Source organism: Homo sapiens, chromosome 9 (genome assembly GCF_000001405.40).
Source record: "Homo sapiens chromosome 9, GRCh38.p14 Primary Assembly".
Lineage (NCBI taxonomy): Eukaryota > Metazoa > Chordata > Mammalia > Primates > Hominidae > Homo > Homo sapiens.
Window position 1 is genome coordinate 78,859,334 of NC_000009.12, and position 24,630 is coordinate 78,883,963.

General features: G+C 38.5%; 1 long non-coding RNA gene across 3 annotated transcripts, besides 1 other annotated feature; it reads right to left on the reverse strand.

Moving 5' to 3' along the window:
* Nucleotides 1–1,688: 1,688 nt before the first annotated feature.
* Nucleotides 1,689–22,710, reverse strand: LOC105376097 (uncharacterized). Of its 3 annotated transcripts, none has more exons than XR_929975.3 (4): nucleotides 22,533–22,710; nucleotides 21,002–21,137; nucleotides 10,463–10,638; nucleotides 1,689–1,945 (listed from the first exon to the last, which is right to left on the reverse strand). It is a non-coding gene; the product is annotated as an uncharacterized LOC105376097 (long non-coding RNA). The 3 variants fall into 3 exon arrangements; XR_929977.3 differs by lacking the exon at nucleotides 1,689–1,945 and adding an exon at nucleotides 2,368–2,402; XR_929976.3 differs by lacking the exon at nucleotides 1,689–1,945 and adding an exon at nucleotides 2,549–2,732.
* Nucleotides 11,912–13,111: an enhancer, noted in NCBI's record as "P300/CBP strongly-dependent group 1 enhancer chr9:81486161-81487360 (GRCh37/hg19 assembly coordinates)". NCBI's record gives its function as "activates an origin of replication core promoter dependent on BRD2, BRD4, P300/CBP, MED14 and CDK7 cofactors, with strong dependence on P300/CBP, by STARR-seq in HCT116 cells {active_cell/tissue: HCT116}" and the evidence as "EXISTENCE:reporter gene assay evidence [ECO:0000049][PMID:35650434]".
* Nucleotides 22,711–24,630: the final 1,920 nt, after the last annotated feature.

Here is a 24,630-nt window from a genome sequence, read left to right on the forward strand (position 1 = left end):
TGGCCCGGGCTTCAGACGGGCCTAATCCCTGGGAGATGGGCATCTGCTGTTTTCAACATTGTACTCCCCTTGAGTACAATAATAATAGCAAAACAATTTACTTTTCCTCCCTTCTCCGTATCTCAGTTGGGATATGTCATGTTAAATGATAGAGAAAACAAAAACACGACAGTATCCAGATTGCAGACTTTCCCATCTTTGAGATTGATAATTACAATTACGTCAAGATCAATAATAAATAAGGTAGTAAGAACCCTTAGGGGTGCTGCGGGAACAGAAGAAGGAATCTGAATTCTGCTTTGATAGCTGAGGAATGCTATCATCCCTGCATCCCTGATGAATGAGGAGGTATTTACCAGATGAAGATGGGATGGAAGGGAATTCTTGGCAGAGGAAAGAGTATGTGCAAAGCCATGGAAGTGAGAGGGTACTCCTTTTTTAGTGAGCACCTGGACATGGCTCAGGCATCCTGAGGAGGAAGTAATTCCATCACTAGTGAGGAAGATGGCAGTTAGTCTAGAAGAGATCTTGCATGAGGTCCCGGACATGCCTGCATCCACTTTACCACCAAAACTTGTATCATAACTGGCATATGATAGTGGCTTAAGAAATGAATGTTTAGTGAATGAGTGGAAAAACAAAGGAATGAGGATACTAGACATTACTAGAAAATGTTATAAAGAGATTATATAAAAAAAGGAACGTAACTGTGGAGAATGGTCTAGATACTAATGGCAAGGAGACCAGGTGAAATAGACCAGGAAAAGGATGACAGGAAGGACTGAAGCAAAAATGTATCCTCAGGAATGCAAAAGAGCACACAGACTCCAGAGACCACTCTGGGGTGAACCCATGTGCTCAGTTGGATGTGGAGGCTAAGTGGAGTGAGAGAGACTGAGCATGCATGAATGCATTGGGGGTGTGGCTTGGGTAAAGTAGAAATGGCATGGCATGTCTAGAGGGAAATTGTGACAGCTGAAATCAAATGTAAATGAGGCATCAAACAGTCCAGCCAGATATTAGTACAGGAGAAACCTTGTGGGACTTATCAGAATTATCTCCCCTAAATACTCCACTGTGGACTTGTCGGTCTGTGTCCAGCTCAGCTGGCATCTCAAACTTTATGGTTTGCTATGGAATTTTGATAAATATATAAAATTATTTTCCCCTCCCTCGGAGTTTTAATACCATTGCTATGATGTCTGTTCTGCCAGGGGAAAATGTTGAGTTGAATAGATTGTCTTTACATTATGGATTCTGTGAGGTGGGATATAATTGATCAAGAGTAATAAATGAATAGCATCATATCAAGCTGATACCAAAGAAGATGGTACATATATTACAACATTAAAAAAATATTGCTTACCATGTACCAGGCATTTATCTAAATGCTTTACAAACATTAATTAATTAATTCCAGTATTCCCACGGGGAAGGTGTTATAATTAAGTATGTTTTGCTGATGTGGAAATTGAAGAACAGAGAGATTAGGTTACTTCTGTGAGATCATATAGCAGATAACTACAGAAGCCCAGATTTGAACCCAGCATTCTCACCAAAGTCCCTGCTCCTCCTCACCCTGAGGGTTGGCTTCTCTTGTTAAACTCTGTCCTGGGTGGCTGACAGCCAATTCAGGAAATGAGAGGCCCAACCTGAAGGTGAACCATGTGCAAATGAATCATTTCACATATGCTAACAACATGTTTAATATTTTGCAAGTACAAAATAGTTGAGAGCCTCTGAACAGAACCTTCCATTTATCTTGTTCACAAGTCAAGAAGTCACTTAATCCCATCCTGCTACTCAGGCTCCAGGCATTAGATACTGGGGGCTGGAGTCTGAGGAGGGTATATCTGTGAAATTGAGGAGGAACCTCAAAAGTAGTTCAAGAACTCTTCAAGTTTGCCTGGTGGTTGTTGCCTCTGCCTGAAGACTTTGGAGACACCTAATGGTGAAGCAAGAGAGATTCTGGAGTCAGACTGCTTGGGTTCAAACCTTGCCTATAGCACTTGCTAGCTATGTGGCCTTGGGAAAGTTACAGCTTCTTTACCTCTTTGTGTCTCAGTTTCCTCAACTGTAAAATGGGCAAATAATGGTCCCTGCCTTAAGGGGTTTATGCAAGGCTTGAGTTAATTCACACTTATGATAAGCACTCAATATGAATCTGCTTGTATTGACAGTCTGCCAATAGCATCCCAGAAATCAATCTACCTTCCTCCCCAAAAATCACCTGATTCTCTCTCTGTCCACATCTATATAAATTGTTAATACAACAAAGATAAGTTATTTAGGGAGGGGGCCCATGACTTATTCCTCAAATGAGACTCCATACATAAATAAAGTGGGGCATTCTGATGGAGACTTTTACCTGACCTACTCCTTTCCAAGTATGCTCATCGTGTCTATAATTAAAAAAAGAGAGAAAATGATTGGTATAGGAGACCTTTGTAAAATACCAGTATAGCTTTAATCTCCTGGTTTTCAAAAAATCTATAAGCAGTTTACTATTTAAAATACATACAGTATGTCTTCCAATGATCATAACTCCTTAAGTTAGTAATATTTTATTTATTTTGTTTCTCAGTTGTACTTCACATGCACAAAACTAGAGAAATCGTGATCCTGGGCTCCTGACACACCGTAATTTTTAATCCATCCATAGGTGACTTCTCTTTTTACATTTTGTTGTTGTTAAAGCCGCATGCCTACAGTAAATTGCCCCAGTGATGTGCCTAAAACAGGGCAGAGGGAAATGTCTGGGCTTCAGTAGGACGCATTGTATCACTGGCATTGTTTGGAATTACAAAGACATGGTGATTAATAAAAAGAAGACTTGACTTTTGGCTGGTCTTATTACCTGGGTCCCATATTGCCTAGGTCTAGGCCCTGCCCTTGGTACACCACTAACGTGTACAAATCATAAGTGTAGACTTGATTAACTTTATATATGTATACACTCTTAGAACCACCATACAGATCAAGGTGCAGAATGTTTCTAAACACCTCATAACGTTCCTTCATGCCTTTCTCCATCAATACTCAGGAATAACCACTGTTCTGACTTCTGTCAACACACATTAGTCTCAAGTTTTCTTAAACTTTGTATAAATTGAATTATATAGTACATACTCTTTTGAGCCAGGCTTTTTTTTTGCTTAACTTATGTGCATACAATTCACATTTTTTGTGAATTAAACTTTGTATACAATTAAATTGTGAATTAAACTTTGTATAATTGTTTAATTAATATGTATAATTTGTATAATTGTTTATTATATAATCAAACTTTGTATAATTGTATACAAAGTTTAATTGTGAATTAATGTTTGTATACAATTAAACTTTGTATAAATTGAATTATATAGTAAATACTCTTACGAGCCAGGCTTTTTCTTTGCTTAACTTATGTGCACAATCCAAGTCATTGCATGGAGCGGGGGTGTGTTTTATTTTACTGCTGTGTGGTAACATTTGGATACTGGTGGGCGTTGGGTTGTTTCCATTGTTTTGGCTACTGTGAATGAAGCATCTGTGGAGGTTCTTGAACATGATAAGCACTCATTTTTTCTTAAGAATATACACAGGGGTGGAGTTCTTGGGGCATATGGCATGAGGCACAGGTTTAGCTTTCATAGCTACTGTCTCTTTTTTTTTTTTTTTTTTTTGAGGCAGAGTCTCAGTCTGTTACCCAGGCTGGAGTGCAGTGGCGCCATCTCGGCTCGCTGCAACCTCTGCCTCCTGGGTTCAAGTGATTCTCCTGCCTCAGCTTCCCAAGTAGCTGGGATTACAGGCACCTGCCACTACCCCTGGCTAATTTTTGTATTTTCAGTAGAGACAGAATTTCACCATGTTGGCCAGGCTGGTCTTGAACTCCTGACCTCAGGTGATCCACCCGCCTTGGCCTCCTAAAGTGCTGGGAATGCAGGAGTGAGCCACCGTACCTGGCCCATAGATACTGTCAAAATGTTTCCCCAAGTGGTTTTGTCCACGTGGCACACTTTTATTTAATTAATTAATTTTTAATAATGTAAAAAGTATCCACAAACCTACCACTAAATGAAATAAGGTTTCTCACTCCAACTTTACAAATGAAGAAACTGATTCCAGAGAGGTTTGGTGCAAGTATGTATTGCACAGTTAGAAAATGTCATAAATGAGAGGGAGACCTAGGTCTTTTGACTTCAAGGACAGTACTTTCTCTGTTATAGCTTCTTTATATAATAACTAACTTTAAAATATTGTGTTATCTGTAAGCAGAAAAGGGACTTGTAAGGCATTCCCGGGGACAAAAATAAAGAGAACAAATCTCAAATTCTGGCCAGAAAAATGTGCATCTCCCATTTCAGCCAAGGAACTTGCTGGCAGAGAGCAAAATGTCTGTCGGACAGGGAGGCTGGCATGATTCCCAGCACAACCCACCTGTACCTTGTTTGGCAACAGAGATTCAAGATTTTACGTGTCCACTGGGCCAATGCATGGCATCCCTTCACCGTTCTTCTGGTATTCATCACTAGAGGTTTTCCTTTATTAATAAAAGCTAACCTATACCCTTGCTAAGCAAAGTGTGGTCTAGGGACCAGCAGCAAGACATCACTGGGGAATGCAAAATCTCAGGCCTCGCCCCAGACTTTCAAAATCTGCCTTTCAGCAAAATCTCCAGCTGATTCCTATGCTCATTATATTTTGAGAAGCGCTGAGTTGTGCAGTTGTAGATTAAAGGTCATTTCCTCCTGCTTTAGAGTATTTGGGAAAATGATCTTTCATCTCTGAGTCTCAGTTTCCCAATCTGAAAAATGAGGTTAACAATATGTACTTTGCAAGGTTGTAATAAGGATTAAAATATACAATATAAATAAAACAACTACAGTGATTCTATATGAATGATTGCTGTCCAGCCAAGTGATAGCTGCTATCCGTTGGTGGGACTGTAAACTAGTTCAACCATTGTGGAAGTCAATGTGGCGATTCCTCAGGGATCTAGAACTAGAAATACCATTTGACCCAGCCATCCCATTACTGGGTATATACCCAAAGGACTATAAATCATGCTGCTATAAAGACACATGCACACGTATGTTTATTGCGGCACTATTCACAATAGCAAAGACTTGGAACCAACCCAAATGTCCAACAATGATAGACTGGATTAAGAATATGTGGCACATATACACCATGGAATACTATGCAGCCATAAAAAATGATGAGTTCATGTCCTTTGTAGGGACATGGATGAAATTGGAAATCATCATTCTCAGTAAACTATCGCAAGAACAAAAAACCAAACACCGCATATTCTCACTCATAGGTGGGAATTGAACAATGAGATCACATGGACACAGGAAGGGGAATATCACACTCTGGGGACTGTGGTGGGGTGGGGGGAGGTGGGAGGGATAGCATTGGGAGATATACCTAATGCTAGATGACGAGTTAGTGGGTGCAGAGCACCAGCATGGCACATATATACATATGTAACTAACCTGCACAATGTGCACATGTACCCTAGAACTTAAACTATAAAAAAAATATATTAGCTTAAAAATAAAAATAAAAAAAAAGAAGTATTCTCAAGCAATGGGACAGTCTAATTTTATTCAGTGGCAAAATGCAAGCCATTAACAATCCTAAACACTCTGCAAGTAGAACCCAGCCCTCCCATAACTGCACCAACACTGCAAGGAAATTGTTTGTAAATGTCAGGCCGGAGTTGGAGCTATGTCTGCAAGTTACCCAAGCATGAGGACCAAGTTCTAGGCCTGCCTCAGCTGATGTTCTTTGCTGACTGCTGCCTGCAAGCCATAGAACTTAGCTTAAAAAATGGAGAGTTGAAGTCATGGACTATGAAGAGCAAAACACCTGCCAGGATAATAAGCAGGATTTACAGTAGAAGTTTGTTAAATCATAGGATGGAGACATCCATGCAAGAGAAAGAAGGACAGATAATTGGGAGATGGGAGACGTGACATGTCAGAAATGCTATATGTATAAATATTACTCGTAAGTAAATTAAGTATTTTTTAAAACAGGCAAGGAAAGGTTTTCCCACCTGAGCTGTCCTGAAATATGAGATATCTCTGAAGTACAAGTTGGTATATTTTTCCCAGTTGAATAGGAAAAATATGTTTGATTGGACAAATGTCTTCAGCAATGATAATTACATGGGTACCTGAAACATTACCTGCCTGGTCATTTTCTGCAGGGTTAATATTAGCGTAATACAAGTTTTATTTAATGACCTTTTCTCTCTTTTCCTGGTACTAGTTTTCCCTGTGTGATTTCTGACTTGGGTGTCAGATTGTAGAGGAAAGCAGTTGAGAAAGTATGGGTGATAAAAACAGCCCTAATCAATTTTTATAGGGCCAGTAGTGGTGATGACTTAATTGCTACCTTGGTGAAAAGGCTGTGATTCTTATGCTAAATTATTTAAAAAATAGCTTTCAATGTAAATGTTCAGAACTTTGTCCAATCTCTCAGCATTTGAAATAGTACCAACACAATGCAAATGCAGCAATGCTTAAGAAGAGCAAGTTCACAGCTAATTTGAAATACAGGATTTCAACAGCTCAGTGGAGCTGGGCGCTGGAGAGGGTGGAGCAGGCAAAGGGAAATGCAGGCTATGTACATAATGAGGGCAATCAATCCAACTTGGTAGCCAGCAAGCAACTGTTGTGTTTAAAATGGAGTATTGTGCCTCCTGTCATGGTGACATATTCAATTAAGCGATATCCTATTATTATTTCTCACCCTGTGTGATTTAACAAAAACATTATTGAAACTAGAAGAAATCATTCTACACACAAGCAAAAGAAAATTCTTTGATTGGAATTATAATGATGTCTTTCACAATCTCTGACAGGTAAATTATGAACAGTTGCAGTAAAACTTTGCTGTATAATATTAATTTGAAATAAGTTCAGACTGTCTCCAGGGCTTTTATTTTTATAAATAAGTGTTGAGCTATTGGGAGGGAGGGAAACTACTGCTTCTTCTGAAAGGTGATGACTTTAGCATTTATCTTGTAGGTAGTGATAAGTAATACAAAGTAGAGAATGTCAGATTAGGACATGGTGCTGCCTGGAGAAAGCCCTATATGAACAGCCTTTCTCAGAACTCTATCTCCCCTAAAGCTTTCAAGGTGGGGGTGGATGATTTTCACTTACTTAACTTACTCTGTACATCACTTTCCAAGCATGACATTTCCAACTGATAAGATTTTCTAACCTATTAGTCAATAATTCAGCATAAAGTTAGAGCAGTTGCTTCAAATTATTACTGTACCAAACTTGGGAGATTTTGAATTTCACTTGCTGGGTAAAAAAAAATGCCCAATGATGCAAACTGCAATATCAAAAATTGCCCAGTAATGCAAACTTCAATATTAAAACTTGAAAACAGTCATTGGAAATATTTTGCAAGGGAAAAGATGGGCTCAAAGGCAATGTCTTGGAATGCATCATTTCTGTCGCTTGCTTTACAAAGCCAAGAAGCTCAGACTCTTCCCAGGAATTTCTTATCTACAGAGCACGCAAGGAAGGCATAAGTCTGGTGTCACTGTAGCTATTACTCATTGAAATGAGTCACTGAGCAAATTTAAAAAGAGGTTCTTTGGAATGTTAGCAATGTTTTAATATGTTTAAACATTGAACAGAGTAGAGGATGGATGAAAAAATTCTATATCCAATAGAACAGTGAAAACATGCACTATTGTAAAATATGTAACCCAGGAGGTAGAGGTTGCAATGAGCCGAGATTGCGGCATGGCGCTCCAGCCTGCGAGACAGAGCAAGACTCTGTCTCAAAAAAAAAAAAAAAAAAAAAAAAAAAAATATATATATATATATATATATATATATAGTATCTAAAAACTCTAAATAGAGTCATATACTGATTAAAGATAAAAGAGCATTTGATGTTACATAATCCAGCCCTAAAGCTCTATAGCACCTCAACAATTTTATTGTTCAGTCTCTGCTTGAACACACAAAATAAAGGAAACTCATAGAAAGCCCACTCTATTTTGAATATATACCAATTTTTAGAAAATTTTATTGAACCAACCTCCTTTTCTCTATTGATTTACTTTATGGTCAGGGATCTCCCTCTACAGTCTCATGGAAACATTCTGATCCCTTTGCTACAGGACATAATTTTATAAATACATAAAAACTTCCATATTACCCTGAAGACTTTCTCTTTCTGCTTCAAGCTATTCATACAGTTATTTATTCATGCAGTCACTCATGCAGCCAGCCATTTAGTAACATTTACTTAGTGCATATGTATACAATGGCCATAAACTGTATTGGACACAAGAAATACAATATTAAATAGAATACGTAAGAACATTAAAGTAAACTCACAATGATTTAGAATTTACCATATGTCAGGCATTGTTATTGGCATTTTATATGCAGTATGCCATATAAGTCTCAATAATCTTATCAGTGAAGTACAATTATTCCACCCACTTTACATATGTAAAAACTGAAGATAGGAGAAAGTAAATTCTAATATCCATAGTCTAAACTGGGAGATAGACATATAAAAAATTATAATACAATTTAGTACATACTATATAATGGAGATAATTAAGGAAACATAGAAAAAGATGGCGGTACGTCTGACTCCTGGTTTCAAGAGCAGAGAATTCTTTGAAGAATATACCCATGAAAAAAAAGTAGGACAGCCAGAGAGAGGAGCACGTAATATACAAAATAGATGAGCATGAAAACTTAAGGTAATGACACTAATGGAATAAAAGGTACAGGGAGAAATGGCTGGAGATGTCAGGAAATCATTAGGAAACCAGGGCTCAGAATATGGTAAGCTGCAAACACCAAAGAGGTTAGAAAGCAACCCTTGGAAAGTGACGGGAAAGTGATAACAAGAAGTTGATAATTAGATCCGCTTTTTAGGAAATTCTTTCTAGCAGCATTTTCAAAGTTGAAATGGAGGGGGCTAGACTGGAGACTTGGAAAACAATCATTCTGGGGGGATATGATACAAAGGAATACTCTTGAGTCCATCTACCACTGCTATTACCATAGGAGGAAATACCATCCTCCAGGTGTGCTCAAAGCAGCTTTGCGTCACAGACTATGGACTTTTGGGCCTATTTGTGTTTATCTTTAAAACTGTGCTTTTTAATGTCATGGGGCAAGGACATGAGTATCCTAAATGAATGGCCTGCCTTTGTTGCTGGCCAGTATGGCTGGCCCACTTTGCTGCTTGGCAGCCATTAATGGATATTTTCTATTTCATGAGAGCCTTGCTTTGCTGGCTACCCCTTGTGTATTATCAACTGCCCGTTTATGTTTCTACCAATTAAGCCCCAAAGATAACAGGAGCAAACTAATATGTGATTCAATAGAATCTTTGCAATATTTAAAAGGTCTAATATTAAGTGCCATATTGGGTTATTGAGCATTCAATTAAAAAGTCTCAAGTGTTTAATTTAGGATTTTCCATAGGACAGTTATTGTTTGTTAATTAGTTAATTAAATAACAAATGATTATTTAAAACATGCATTAGGATTAAGCAAGCTGTAAGAGAGATAAAGATATCTCCAAGGCAATTAGCTCACTGTAATTTTAATGATAAATGTGTAATTAGACTCTTATTCTAAAGAGATTGTTTGGAATGGTTTTCACAAACATTAAACAAGCATGTAACGTGATATTTACTTACACAACAAGCAAAATGTAGTTCTAATTCTTATTAAGCATCAGCCAGTGTATTCAAATGGTACCTAATTTGCTAAAAGCAAAAATTTTACAAGTATTGGTACTTACAAAAATATAATCCATTAAAAGCTTATATAACTAACTTAATTATATTACAACTAGATGTATCCCCAAGCCTATTTATTTCACTTCCTAGAAACTTACCTGAGAATTTCCAGTGTGTCATAATTTAACAACCAGCATTTATACTTTTATGTATCCAATACTTGAGGGAGTTACTATTACATCACAAAATGAACCCCCCTTGCAAAGAATAAAATACATTTCCTCTTGGATATCTAGAACCTACCACAGTTCCTGGCACATGGAACTCTGTAAACGTCTACAAAATTTATTTGAATGAGCAGAAAACATCCAGAAATATCCAGACTTCCTGATTCTGCTCATTCGAATTCTGTTTCTCCCCATTCTATCACAAGCTCCTGGCTGCCGTCTCTAAAAATGCAGCTCTTCTATTATTCTCAGCAGCCAGCAGCCTAGTTGAATTGAGCTGGAGAAATCATGTCTCCAGAGGACTAGCATGGGTTTTGGGTGCCTTGGGAATTATAGTAATGATGATAATCATAAAAATACCGGAAAACACTTATTAAGTGCTTCCTATTTGCCAAGCACTGAGAGAAGCTTTTTCCATTGATAACCACTGTTTATATTTTCAGCAACCTTGTAAGAGAGATCCTACTATTATGTGTGTATTTCAAATGAGGACATTGAGGCTTACAGCAGGTATATAATTTTTCCCAGGTCATATCGTTGGTAAGTAATGGAACGAGGTTAGAATCCTAGGTATCCTGAAGTTAGAGCCCATTCTTGCTTTAGTTAAGTTTCTCTTGAAGCAGATCCCCAGATGCAGTTGCTTGTGCAGCTGGTTTATGAAGCCGTGTGCTCAGGAGAGACCTGTGAGGGAGTGAGCCAAGAAAGGTAAAGAAGTGGAATAAATTAGGCAATTATTCAGTTGAAGTTCAATTAAAGTCTAGCCTCAGTCTGATCCTACAAGGAGCTCTGGAATGTAAGTAACCGTACAGAGTAGTCCCACCTTAAGGCATGGGGGCAGAAATTTGTACCCCAGAATCTATCTCTGGTGGGCCGTTGACTGCCCCTGAAGTAGAAGACATAATCTCACAGGTATGTTCCAGTGGGAGGTAGCTTACTTTGTGGAGACCTGTTACCTGGACAAGGTTTTGAGCTGTTGCAGCCAACCCTCACAGAAGGAGAGAGAGTGGGGATGCCAGCCAGGTACAATAAATCAAACCAAGGCATCAGTAGCATGTACTACAGAACCTGGTTCCATAATGTTGATCTTCACTTCTAAGCTACCATGAAGAACAGAGGATTTTTGTCAAACAGGCTGGATTTTTATCCTGTTCTGCCACTTCCTAGCCTAGTGGCTTTGGGAAAATTGCTTCTATGTTCTAAGTCTAATTTATCATAATCTATAAAATGGAAGTCTTAATACTACTGGTCCCATGGGATTATTATGTTGACCAAATGAGAATGTATGTGAATGCATTTTATAAGCTAAAACAGAACATGAATGGTATATGTGGGGTTGTTATTGCCATGTCTAACTTTCCAGGCTCAGGGGCTTCCAGGGGGTGGTGGCCCATGAATCTATGGAAGCCCTGGTCCAGATGACACTTATGATGAACATAAGTATAAGGTCACTGGTGTCAAAATAGGAGATAAAAGGGATACAGACAAAACAGAACTTGAATGGAAGATGATTGACCATCTAGGCTGTCTCATGATCCTGCTGAATATTGATAATCTTAATTAACACTTTCAAAGACTGAGGGTCAGGAAAAGTAATGTACCTAAGTTGCACAACCAGAAAATGGCATACCTAGGACTCTGCCTCAGGTCATTTGAAGCCTAATTTCACAGTATTTTTCAGTTATACCATACAGCTCTTCTGCCTTCAATATTGGTAAATCCCAGTGATTTTTTTTCAAAGGCATCTCCTGTTCTCTCCATCCCAGGGATAATGTTCCCTCTCCTGTATCAAGACGTTCCCATCCTGACCATCTTGTGCCCTGGCCTTTTCTCCTGAATCCTGGATTGCAACTAATAATCACAAAGTCTGAATGTAGCATAGAGAACCATTTCTATTTCTGATTTCTGTTTGGCTCACAACCAGCACTTAGCCCCAAGAGGCATTTGGAGCCTTATCTGAAGCTTAAAAAGGCAGCAAGTTCACCTTAACAACATACTCAGTGGAAGTTGGTGTGGAAAACTGGCTTCAGTTTCAATAGTTGCACAGCACTGAAGTCTTAATGGAGGACCATAAAGCCAGTTGATGTAGAAACTATGGATTTTGGTAGCAAAGGAGACATAGATAACTGAACAAAACTGGGGTTCTGTTAGGAAGAATGAAGACAATAGATAATGGATTCGCACTTGGCAATGTAAACAACAGATAATGAAGATGATGTTATATCTTAATCCTCCTATTAATTGTTTAGAACACTTAGAAGAGGAAGAATATAAGTTCTGTAAGTAGCACCCACAAATCCCCCACACCAACTTACAGAGATCTCTTTCTTCCTAATGAGAGTGAATGTGTCCTAAAGCTTGAGGCCATGGAAGCAAATGTGGAACCACCTTGCTGGGAAATTTCCATATGGCGTGAGATCCCCTGTGAGTAATTCTGCAAGTATTGTAAACATTTCTTTGGCAAAGGGAAGATAATAAGCTTCTTTCCATAGCCTGGTGAGGGAGCACAGGTTTTGAATCAGGCAAATATTTGAATTCTTGCCCAGTAATTTTTAATCACATTAGGTTATTCTACACTTCACCCTCAGTTAGCTCACTTATAAGAAGGGGATCATAATTCCTACTATAGAGTTTTTTGGTGATTCAGTGAGGTAAAATATGAAAAAAAATTTCTTGATCCTTTTATGCTGATAGGATGATAATACTGTCAGTTCTTTTTTATTGTAGGCATGAGAATGGGGTGAGCATTGTGGGCACCACTGGTTAGTACGTAGGAGAAATGCTACCCACCTTAAATACCTAAGATTTTATTGCAGGTCCCCAGCGGTAACACAGGATGGGCAAAAGAAAACTGAGGTTTGAGGCAAAGTCAATTCTGTTATGATTTTGCTGTGAGATCTGGGAACAATTAATTGACCTCAAAATTTCATCATCTCAGCCATGTTATTTACTTCTTGGCTTTACAAAATAATATGTGAAGACATCCAATGAGAAAATTTCCAAGTGCTTTGAGCTTTCACATGGTCTTTACACTGAAACAGACATCATATAAAAATATATGCAGGTTGGGCGCAGTGCCTCTCACCTGTAATCCCAGCACTTTGGGGGGCCAAGGCAGGTGGATCACAAGGTCAGGAGTTCCAGACCAGCCTGGCCAACATGGTGAAACCCCGTCTCTACTAAAAATACAAAGATTAGCCGGGCGTGGTGGCAGGCGCCTGTAATCCCAGCTACTTGGGAGGCTGAGGCAGGAGAATCGCTTGAACCCAGGAGGCAGAAGTTGCAGTGAGCCGAGTTAGCACCATTGCACTCCAGCCTGGGGGACAAAAGAAAGAAATATGTTAAAAATAAGGCTTAGAGTCATTTGACACATGACATATTATTTTGGAAAAAAAAGATATTTTGACCCTGGGCAAATTTTTTTTTATTTCCATTACACAACTGGCTTAATTATTTTAAAATTCATCTTCTTAAGGGATTTTCCTCTAGAGACCATTGCCATGCTTGGAGTGACAGCAATACTTATTTTAGTTTCTTCCAGGCATACTTAACTGACTCTCCAAATCAAACTTTTGGTGTGGCAGCTCCAAAGAAACTCTCCTTACAAAGCATTTTAAATAGCATTTGTGAAAATCTCTTCTCTCTGAAAGTCAAAATGTTCTGCATAAACAGTAAAACAAAATGGAGGCATGGTCTATTAAACAAACAACAGTGATAGACTCCAATATTTCACAATATTACTACTTGCTTAATAGGGTGCAAGCAACTTAAAAAATATCTGAAGTCGTTTCCTAATTATTTCCATTAACTGTTCAAATTTGAGCTTTTTCACGATGTTGGTTATGAACAGTAAAAGTAAATCAAGTGATACTAATAATAATTTTCAATTAAAAAACACAAGATAGAAATGAGCTGCTGGCTCAGCCCACTTATTTGAGAAGATAGACTCCCTTTCCGTTAAGGCAAGACCTACTTAAATAAATGGGGGTAATTTTATTCTTGAATATAAAGGCGAGTTTTCCCAAGACTCAAAAATTTCCAGGCTGGACTTTCTCAGTACTGACCTCTTGTCCCGGCCTCCTTGTTCCTTTATTCCTTCCCTATTGAACCCTCACCATTTTTGTGTGTGTGTGATTTTTGGGCTTTGCAGGGGGAAAATCAAAGGTAGTGATATGGTTTGAATATTTGTCTCTTCCAAATCTCTTGTTGAAATTTGACCCCTAATGTGGGAGGTGGAGCCCAGTGGGAGGGGTTCAGGCCATGGGGGCAGATCCCTCATGAATCCCTTAGTGCTCTCCCTGTGGTAATGAGTGCATTGTTACTCTATTAATTCATGGGAGAGCTGGTTGTTCAAAAGAGCTTAAGGCCAGGCATGGTGGCTCACGCCTGTCATCCCAGCATTTGGGGAGGCGGAGGTGGGTGGATCACCTGAGGTCAGGAGTTCAAGACCGGCCTGACCAACATGGTGAAACCCTGGCTCTACTGAATATACAAAAAATTAGCCAGACGTGGTGGCACACACCTGTAGTCCCAGCTACTCGGGAGGCTGAGGCACAAGAATGTCTTGAACTTTGGAGGCAGAGGTTGCAATGAGCCGACATGGCACCACTGCACTCCAGCCTGGGTGACAGAGCAAGACTCTGTCTAAAAAAAAACCATAAAATATAAATAAATAAATAAATAAATAGCTTGTCACCTCCTCCTCTCTCTTGCTTCCTCCCACCTCACCATATGACACATCTGCTCGCCCTTCCCCTTCCACCATGATTTAAAGCTTCCTGAGGTCCTGACCAGGAGCAGATGCTGGCGCCATACTTCTTGTACAACCTACAAAACCGTGAACCAAATAAATCTCTTTTCTTCATAAATTACCCAGCCTCAGGTATTTCTTCATTAGTGATGCAAAACTGGCTAAATACAGTAGGTTAGGAAGAGGGAGGGAATTGCTTTCAGCAAAGTAGGCATTCCAGAACAGTATGTGCTCAGAGCTCAGGAATGAATAAATCCCCCAGAAGGGAAAACTGAATATTCCTGGTCCAGTATTATTCCTCTATATGTAAAGAAGAAAAATTGGCAGGACAAACAGGGAAAAGCTGTCTGGCACCTATTTTTTAGCCAGGCTATGCCTTTTGGAGTTGCTTTCTTCAAATGTCTATCTGCTTCTTGAATTCAACTAAGGGAGAAAGGGCCATGGAGATATTTTGTACCAAGGCTTGAAAGCCAATGATTACAGGCTCATTAAGGGTTCCACATGCCAAAATGTAAAGACCATCGAGACTAGGAAGAAACTGCATCAACTAACGAGCAAAATAACCAGCTAACATCATCATGACAGGATCAAATTCACACATAACAATATTAACTTTAAATGTAAATGGACTAAATGCTCCAATTAAAAGACACAGACTGGCAAATTGGATAAAGAGTCAAGATCCATCAGTGTGCTGTATTCAGGAAACCCATCTCACGTGCAGAGACACGCATAGGCTCAAAATAAAAGGATGGAGGAAGATCTACCAAGCAAATGGAAAACAAAAAACGGCAGGGGTTGCAATCCTAGTCTCTGATAAAACAGACTTTAAACTGACAAAGATCCAAAGAGACAAAGAAGGCCATTACATAATGGTAAAGGGATCAATTCAACAAGAAGAGCTAACTATCCTAAATATATATGCACCCAATACAGGAGAACCCAGATTCATAAAGCAAGTCCTGAGTGACCTACAAAGAGACTTAGACTCCCACACATTAATAATGGGAGACTTTAACACCCCACTGTCAACATTAGACAGATCAACGAGACAGAAAGTCAACAAGGATACCCAGGAATTGAACTTAGCTCTGCACCAAGCGGACCTAATAGACGTCTACAGAACTCTCCACCCCAAATCAACAGAATATACATTTTTTTCAGCACCACACCACACCTATTCCAAAATTGACCACATAGTTGGAAGTAAAGCTCTCCTCAGCAAATGTAAAAGAACAGAAATTATAACAAACTATCTCTCAGACCACAGTGCAATCAAACTAGAACTCAGGATTAAGAATCTCACTCAAAACCGCTCAACTACATGGAAACTGAACAACCTGCTCCTGAATGACTACTGGGTACATAACGAAATGAAGGCAGAAATAAAGATGTTCTTTGAAACCAACGAGAACAAAGACACAACATACCAGAATCTCTGTGACTCATTCAAAGCAGTGTGTAGAGGGAAATTTATAGCACTAAATGCCCACAAGAGAAAGCAGGAAACATCCAAAATTGACACCCTAACATCACAATTAAAAGAACTAGAAAAGCAAGAGCAAACATATTCAAAAGCTAGCAGAAGGCAAGAAATAACTAAAATCAGAGCAGAACTGAAGGAAATAGAGACACAAAAAACCCTTCAAAAAATTAATGAATCCAGGAGCTGGTTTTTTGAAAGGATCAACAAAAGTGATAGACCGCTAGCAAGACTAATAAAGAAAAAAAGAGAGAAGAATCAAATGGACACAATAAAAAATGATAAAGGGGATATCACCACCGATCCCATAGAAATACAAACTACCATCAGAGAATACTACAAACACCTCTATGCAAATAAACTAGAAAATCTAGAAGAAATGGATAAATTCCTCCACACATACACTCTCCCAAGACTAAACCAGGAAGAAGTTGAATCTCTGAATAGACCAATAACAGGAGCTGAAATTGTGGCAATAATCAATAGTTTACCAACCAAAAAGAGTCCAGGACCAGATGGATTCACAGCCGAATTCTATCAGAGGTACATGGAGGAACTGGTACCATTCCTTCTGAAACTATTCCAATCAACAGAAAAAGAGGGAATCCTCCCTAACTCATTTTATGAGGCCAGCATAATTCTGATACCAAAGCCGGGCAGAGACACAACCAAAAAAGAGAATTTTAGACCAATATCCTTGATGAACATTGATGCAAAAATCCTCAATAAAATACTGGCAAAACGAATCTAGCAGCACATCAAAAAGCTTATCCACCATGATCAAGTGGGCTTCATCCCTGGGATGCAAGGCTGGTTCAACATACGCAAATCAATAAATGTAATCCAGCATATAAACAGAGCCAAAGACAAAAACCACATGATTATCTCAATAGATGCAGAAAAAGCCTTTGGCAAAATTCAACAACCCTTCATGCTAAAAACTCTCAATAAATAAGGTATTGATGGGACATATTTCGAAATAATAAGAGCTATCTATGACAAACCCACAGCCAATATCATGCTGAATGGGCAAAAACTGGAAGCATTCCCTTTGAAAAGTGGCACAAGACAGGGATGCCCTCTCTCACCACTCCTATTCAACATAGTGTTGGAAGTTCTGGCCAGAGCAATTAGGCAGGAGAAGGAAATAAAGGGTATTCAATTAGGAAAAGAGGAAGTCAAATTGTCCCTGTTTGCAGATGACATGATTGTATATCCAGAAAACCCCATTGTCTCAGCCCAAAATCTCCTTAAGCTGATAAGCAACTTCAGCAAAGTCTCAGGATACAAAATCAATGTACAAAAATCACAAGCATTCTTATACACCAATAATAGACAAACAGAGAGCCAAATCATGAGTGAACTCCCATTCACAATTGCTTCAAAGAGAATAAAATACCTAGGAATCCAACTTACAAGGGATGTGAAGGACCTCTTCAAGGAGAACTACAAACCACTGCTAAGGAAATAAAAGAGGATACAAACAAATGGAAGAACATTCCATGCTTATGGGTAGGAAGAATCAATATCGTGAAAATGACCATACTGCCCAAGGTAATTTACAGATTCAATGCCATCCCCATAAAGCTACCAATGCCTTTCTTCACACAATTGGAAAAAACTACTTTAAAATTCATATGGAACCAAAAAAGAGCCTGCATCGCCAAGGCAATCCTAAGCCAAAAGAACAAAGCTGGAGGCATCACACTACCTGACTTCAAACTATACTACAAGGCTACAGTAACCAAAACAGCATGGTACTGGTACCAAAACAGAGATATACATCAATGGAACAGAACAGAGCCCTCAGAAATAACGCCGCATATCTACAACTATCTGATCTTTGACAAACCTGACAAAAACAAGCAATGGGGAAAGGATTCCCTATTCAATAAATGGTGCTGGGAAAACTGGCTAGCCATATGTAGAAAGCTGAAACTGGATCCCTTCCTTACATCTTATACAAAAATCAATTCAAGATGGATTAAAGACTTAAACATTAAACCTAAAACCATAAAAACCCTAGAATAAAACCTAGGCATCACCATTCAGGACATAGGCATGGGCAAGGACTTCATGTCCAAAACACCAAAAGCAATGGCAACAAAAGACAAAATTGACAAATGGGATCTTATTAATCTAAAGAGCTTCTGCACAGCAAAAGAAACTACCGTCAGAGTGAACAGGCAACCTACAAAATGGGAGAAAATTTTTGCAACCTACTCATCTGACAAAGGGCTAATATCCAGAATCTACAATGAACTCAAATTTACAAGAAAAAAACAAACAACCCCATCAAAAAGTGGGCGAAGGACATGAACAGACACTTCTCAAAAGAAGACATTTATGCAGCCAAAAGACACATGAAAAAATGCTCATCATCACTGGCTACCAGAGAAATGCAAATCAAAACCACAATGAGATACTGTCTCACACCAGTTAGAATGGCAATCATTAAAAAGTCAGGAAACAACAGGTGCTGGAAAGGATGTGGAGAAATAGGAACACTTTTACACTGTTGGTGGGATTGTAAACTAGTTCAACCATTGTGGAAGTCAGTGTGGAGATTCCTCAGGGATCTAGAACTAGAAATACCATTTGACCCAGCCATCCCATTACTGGGTATATACCCAGAGGACTATAAATCATGCTGCTATAAAGACACATGCACACGTATGTTTATTGCGGCATTATTCACAATAGCAAAGACTTGGAACCAACCCAAATGTCCAACAATGATAGACTGGATTAAGAAAATGTGGCACATATACACCATGGAATACTATGCAGCCATAAAAAATGATGAGTTCATGTCCTTTGTAGGGACATGGATGAAATTGGAAATCATCATTCTCAGTAAACTATCGCAAGAACAAAAAACCAAACACCGCATATTCTCACTCATAGGTGGGAATTGAACAGTGAGATCTCATGGACACAGGAAGGGGAATATCACACTCTGGGGACTGTGGTGGGGTGGGGGGAGGTGGGAGGGATAGCATTGGGAGATATACCTAATGCTAGATGACCAGTTAGTGGGTGCAGCGCACCAGCATGGCACATGTATACATATGTAACTAACCTGCACAATATGCACATGTACCCTAAAACTTAAAGTATAATAAAAAAAAAAAGCAAAAAAGAAAAAAAAAAAGAATAAGGGTTCCAGTATATTATCATACCAAGCCTACAAAATTTAGGGGCCATTGTTGAGATTTCAGTGTTAAGCTTCCATGTTTTTGCATAGTCTAGAAATGCCCTTAAATATATATCTGCATATTGGATACAATTTTATATAATTTATGTAATTACTATAATGTAAAATTATACATGCATATGAAAAGTAATGATAAGGCAGGTACCAAAATGATGATAAATGTTTTGTTTGTTGAAAATGGAAGAAAAAATTTCACATTTTCCCCCAGTTACTCAATTTTTAACAATATTTTATAATAAAAAGAACTAGGAAGACAAATATATATGAATGTCTGAAGAATAAAGTCTAAAGGTGAGATGAGCTGCATCTTAGCTCCACACGGCTTAGCTCACAAGAAAACAGAGTCAACATTTGGCAGAATATTCAGCGAACATAAAAACTGTAGTAGGAACCCACCAGGGGTTAAAATCGTACTGAGGGTGTATGATGTCACTATCCTTTCTTCCTATACTGGGAAGGGTGGCTATAGTTTACAGCAATATATTGTACATTTCTAAATAACTGAAGGGGAGTACCTGAATGTTTGTAGTATAAAGAAAAGATAAATATTTAAGGTGATGAGTATCTCAATTACCTTGATTTGATCTTTACACATTATATAAATATATAAAATTATCACACACCCTGAAAATATGTACACCCATTATGTATCAATAAAGAATAAATTTTTAAAAAGATATTGATGTTGTAGAAGCAAGACCATTGGAAATCTGAATTCTTGTCCTGAGTTCTAGCAAGTCTTCTCAACCTGGCTCAGTGCTAGGTCACTTAAGAGTAAAGATACAAACAGACTAAATCCAGTATCTAAATGATCTTACTCTACTTAATTCAGAATGACTCACACTTCTCAGGGGATCTTGATCTGTAAAATGCCTGAATAATAACCTAATTTCAATTTTACAGCATTTTTGTTTTTGTCTAATCTACTTAGGATCACGAATTTCTTAAAACGTAACTGCTGCTTGGTTGAACTTCATTGTACTCAGGGAAGGCAAATATTTGCCATCATCACCCTTACTTCAAACATAGCATCATTGCTTGTTTATTTCAGCATATTTTCCAAGTAAGTCTGGATTCTACCCAAAATCCTTTTTGACTTTGAAAAGATTGGAAACGCCAAGCAGGTCCATCCCAGTCCTCCAAACCCTTTCTGCAACTAATTTCTCACACAAGCAGTTCTATCCTGAAAAAAGGAGGTATGCAGTAACAAAATATGAGCACATATTTTTACAGCATTCCAGGGGGTAGTGTTATTTTCCACCAAGACACATGTTTTGATCTTCATGGTTTAGCATGTAATTTATCTCACATATTCAGAGATCATCTGCATTGATGATTAAATGACAAGTGGTCTGCTGTATTTCTTTGGATGAAGAAAAGAAATTTGCAGTCAATATTCTAAAAGCGCAGCCAACTATTTGGTCTGTAAAGCAATGTGGACCATTGAGTACGTGCACAGTTTAAAAAATTCCATCCTCTGAAATCTTAGTTGAAAATATCGGAGTTGAGTTGCAATGAGCCTCATCTGAACAGAGAAAGCCCCCAACCTCACTAATAAAAGTTTCAGATTTTTTGATTGAATGCCATTTGAAATTACCTTCATCACGTTAACGTGCAGTAGGTAGTATGCAGTCGGGTTGCCTCTCGACATGACCCTATTAGAGATTGCCACTTGTAAGGAAATCTATTCAAAAGCAGAGGCTGTATTAAGCTGGATACCAGGTCAAATGACACTATTTGGGGGAAAAATGGAGAGGTACTTCAGCCTAACGATTTGTGAAAAGTTAAGTAACAACAAATTCCATGAATATGAAATTGTGGAAAGAATGCTCTCATCACAGCTTTTATCCCTCAGCACTCTATGCAGACGGTAGCCAGGAGGAATTAGAAATGGCACCTGCTGGTATGCCTGTCTCTCTCTGAAATGATGCTTTTTCAGACTATGATTTTAGAGCTTGTGAGATGGAAAGGGAAAAATTCAGTTTGGGGTTCTCAAAGTTCTTTTCAGTAAAACGGGAAGGTAGGAAGCGCAATATGAGTATTCTGACATTTCCTGCCTATTTTTGCTTTCAAGAACCTTTGTATATTCATGTGGTTGGCTGTAGAGAACTTTGACAGTTTTAGTTGGAAGCTTTGGAAATATCAGGGAGAAGCAAACTCAGTTTCTGCATTAATAAGTGGTGGAAATAGATCTGGGATTCTATACTAACTTATATTTGTTTTTTGGAATTTTAATTTTTATAAACACTTCACTGGAATATAATAAAATATATGTTGATATAGTGAAATATATAATACAATGTAAAGTATTATACAGAGAAGTATGTCTATCATAAATGTACAACTCACTGAATTTTTACAAACTGAACACACACCTGAGTAAAAGCCCTAAGATCAAGAAGTAAAACCCGTATGCCTCTCTCATGACCCCTTTCAGCCTCTAGTCACTCTCCTGTCTTCTAGATTTGTTTTGCCTTTTGTGCAGTTTGCAAATAGGGAATTATACTATTAGTGCTCATTTGAGTCTGGCATCCCAGACTGAACATCATGTTTATAAGGTCCACTCATAACTATTATATTTCAGTTTAATTCATTCATCCTCACTGTTGAATGTTTTTTCATTATGGGAACTTAGGCTGTTTTTTTTTGTTTTTGTTTTTTTTTTATGGGAACTTAGGCTGTTTTTCACTACTATGAGTAATGTTATTTTGAACACTCACGTGTGGATCATTTGAAGAAACATACATACATATTTTGGGTGGGTACATACTTTGGAGTGGAATTGCTGGGTCAAAGGGTTTGGAAAAGTTCATCTTGAGTAAACATTCCCAAACAGATATCCAGAGTGGTGGTTATTTCCACCCCTGCCAGCACTAAATGAAGTTCCAGTTGTTTTACATCTCACCAGATTCATATGCCCCTCCTTTGCCTTTGTATCATTCTGGTGGGTGTGTAGCTGCTGGCAATTTTTGAGGTCCTTGAGAACATTGTTGTTTCCTTGTTTACCTCGACGTTCAGAGCACTGAGCACAATGATGGCTTTTGATTAGGTTTCCAGATTACTTTCAGGCGTAATAGCACAAATGGATCAGTGAGCAGAGGTATAGTAGAAACAAAACTAAGGTGTACCTTGAGTCTGGAAGTCTGATCCTTAGGGGAAGGAACTCGATGGCACTCTGGTAAGCTTCCCTTCAGTGGCTTTTGTTGGGCATACATGGATTCTAGAAGACCTTCTATTATGACATATAGCATGAAAATTGTTTCAGACCATAAAAGTTTTTTCTCACTGCCTATGTGTATAGAATTTTATATTATAGTTGCTTAAATCTTATAATATCAACCCAGATGTGCAAAAAGGCAATTTTCTCTACTAGTCTATATTTGCTCTCAACATGTACACTGTTGTTGAAAGTTAAACTGTTTCCACTATCTGTTTAGTTTTAAACCCCTGTCTCTTTTGTGTAAATGTTCAGTTAATTTAAAAACTTGCCCCTCCATTTCAGCATTTTTCTTTGTCCCAAGACATGATCAGTTTCCTCACAGGGCATTGAAAGCGTAGGGTCTGGTTGCTTCTTGGGTTGCCTCTGACCCCAGTAGCTTCCAGGGCAGGATGGCTTGATCTGCCTGAACTCTGCTGTGGCTCTGGCTGTGAGGCCCATATGCTCTGCATTTTGTTGTTCAAACCCAGGACTTTCCTAGTTGATGGTCCTCGGAGCCCCTTATCTGGAGGGTCAGGATTCTCAGCTACTGTCCTGTGCATCTCTGGGGTATGAAGGACTTTCTGGAGTTTCTTTCCCTTCAAGAGAATCTGCTGGAACACTTGCTTCAGTCATTATCAAGTTGCTCCCTGTACATTCAGTTGCCTCCAGCACTATGCACATCTCAGGGATTTGCTCGCAGATATGAAATCTGCCTGAGATAAGCTTTGGGGAAATCAGCAGTAACTCCACTGTTCTGGGATGTCTCATACCCACACTGGATTTCTCTCTCATTTCGCCATCTTTGATTTATGGGTCTAAGAAGAGTTTGGGTAAGGAACTGATCTGTGGCTCATAATACAAGCACGAGTTGCTTTATTTCAGCCTCCCCACTGAAGTTTTCTTTTGAAGTCTACCGGTTGAGCACTTATTACCTTTTGGGGTGGGGGAGATAATTTTTCCATTCACTGTGCACTCTTCTGTATGGTTTCTAGTGTGCACTGTCTGCTCAGTATTCTAAGCTTGGTTATTGATATTTAATACCATCTTTGGAAACTCTGAGAAACCATCAGTCCTCCTTTTTTCTCAGTAAAGTCCAGCTATTACCCAGATGACGTGTATACTCTTCACACTTTATCTGCTATGGTTTTAAGAAATATATTTAAGAACTGAACTTGGATTTTGGTCCTTGGTGGTGTCTGCCCTCCCTCAGAGGACAATACTTATATGAAGCTAACATCACTGCTTGAATGGGAAGGAGAAAGATAGGAGTGAAGGCAATGGAAACACACAGCTTTATAGCAAAGCATTATCTCTATTACCTTATGTAGCTGCTTTCAGTGTGTGTATTTAGGAGGTGAAACTTGAAGAAATCAGAGGATTTGTTTGCCCAAGGAAGGTTTTTAACATCACCATGTTACAATCTCTCTTCATTTTTCTTAAGAATATAAAAATAACAAACTGAGTATTAAGCAAGTTTGCTAAGATATTTGGGCCTCTTTCCAAGAAGATAAATTATACATAATATAATAAGAGAAAAGAAAATGTCATGTTGGTGAAACTTCCATGAAAATTCTCATTTTGCAAAAAAAAAAAAAAAAAAAAAAAATTGTTTTTTTTTTTTTTTTTTTTTTTTTTTTGCCAGATCCCCAAATGAGGTAATAATATCGTGGCTGGATGTGGCAGTTCATGCCCCAGAGGAGGTAATACAATGGTTTAGAATATCTTCTCCTTTTTGAAGCAGCCTCCTTGTTATGCCAGGAAGTTAGTCTAAAACTAGCCCCTTCATTGTTCACATACAGAGTCAAGTGAGGAAAGTAAGCCTACATTTCCTACTTTGTTTGGATGTTAGAAGGAATTCTCTTTCAGCAGAAAGCTGTCATGCAGGACTAACAAAAACCATTTTGATTGGTCGCTTTTTTCTTGAGGTTCTAAAATTTCCATCTCATTATGATCAAAGAATGCAACTACGTTTGAGTATATCTTGACAAAGGATGGCAGTCCTAATTTTGAATTTTCTGTATTCTAGC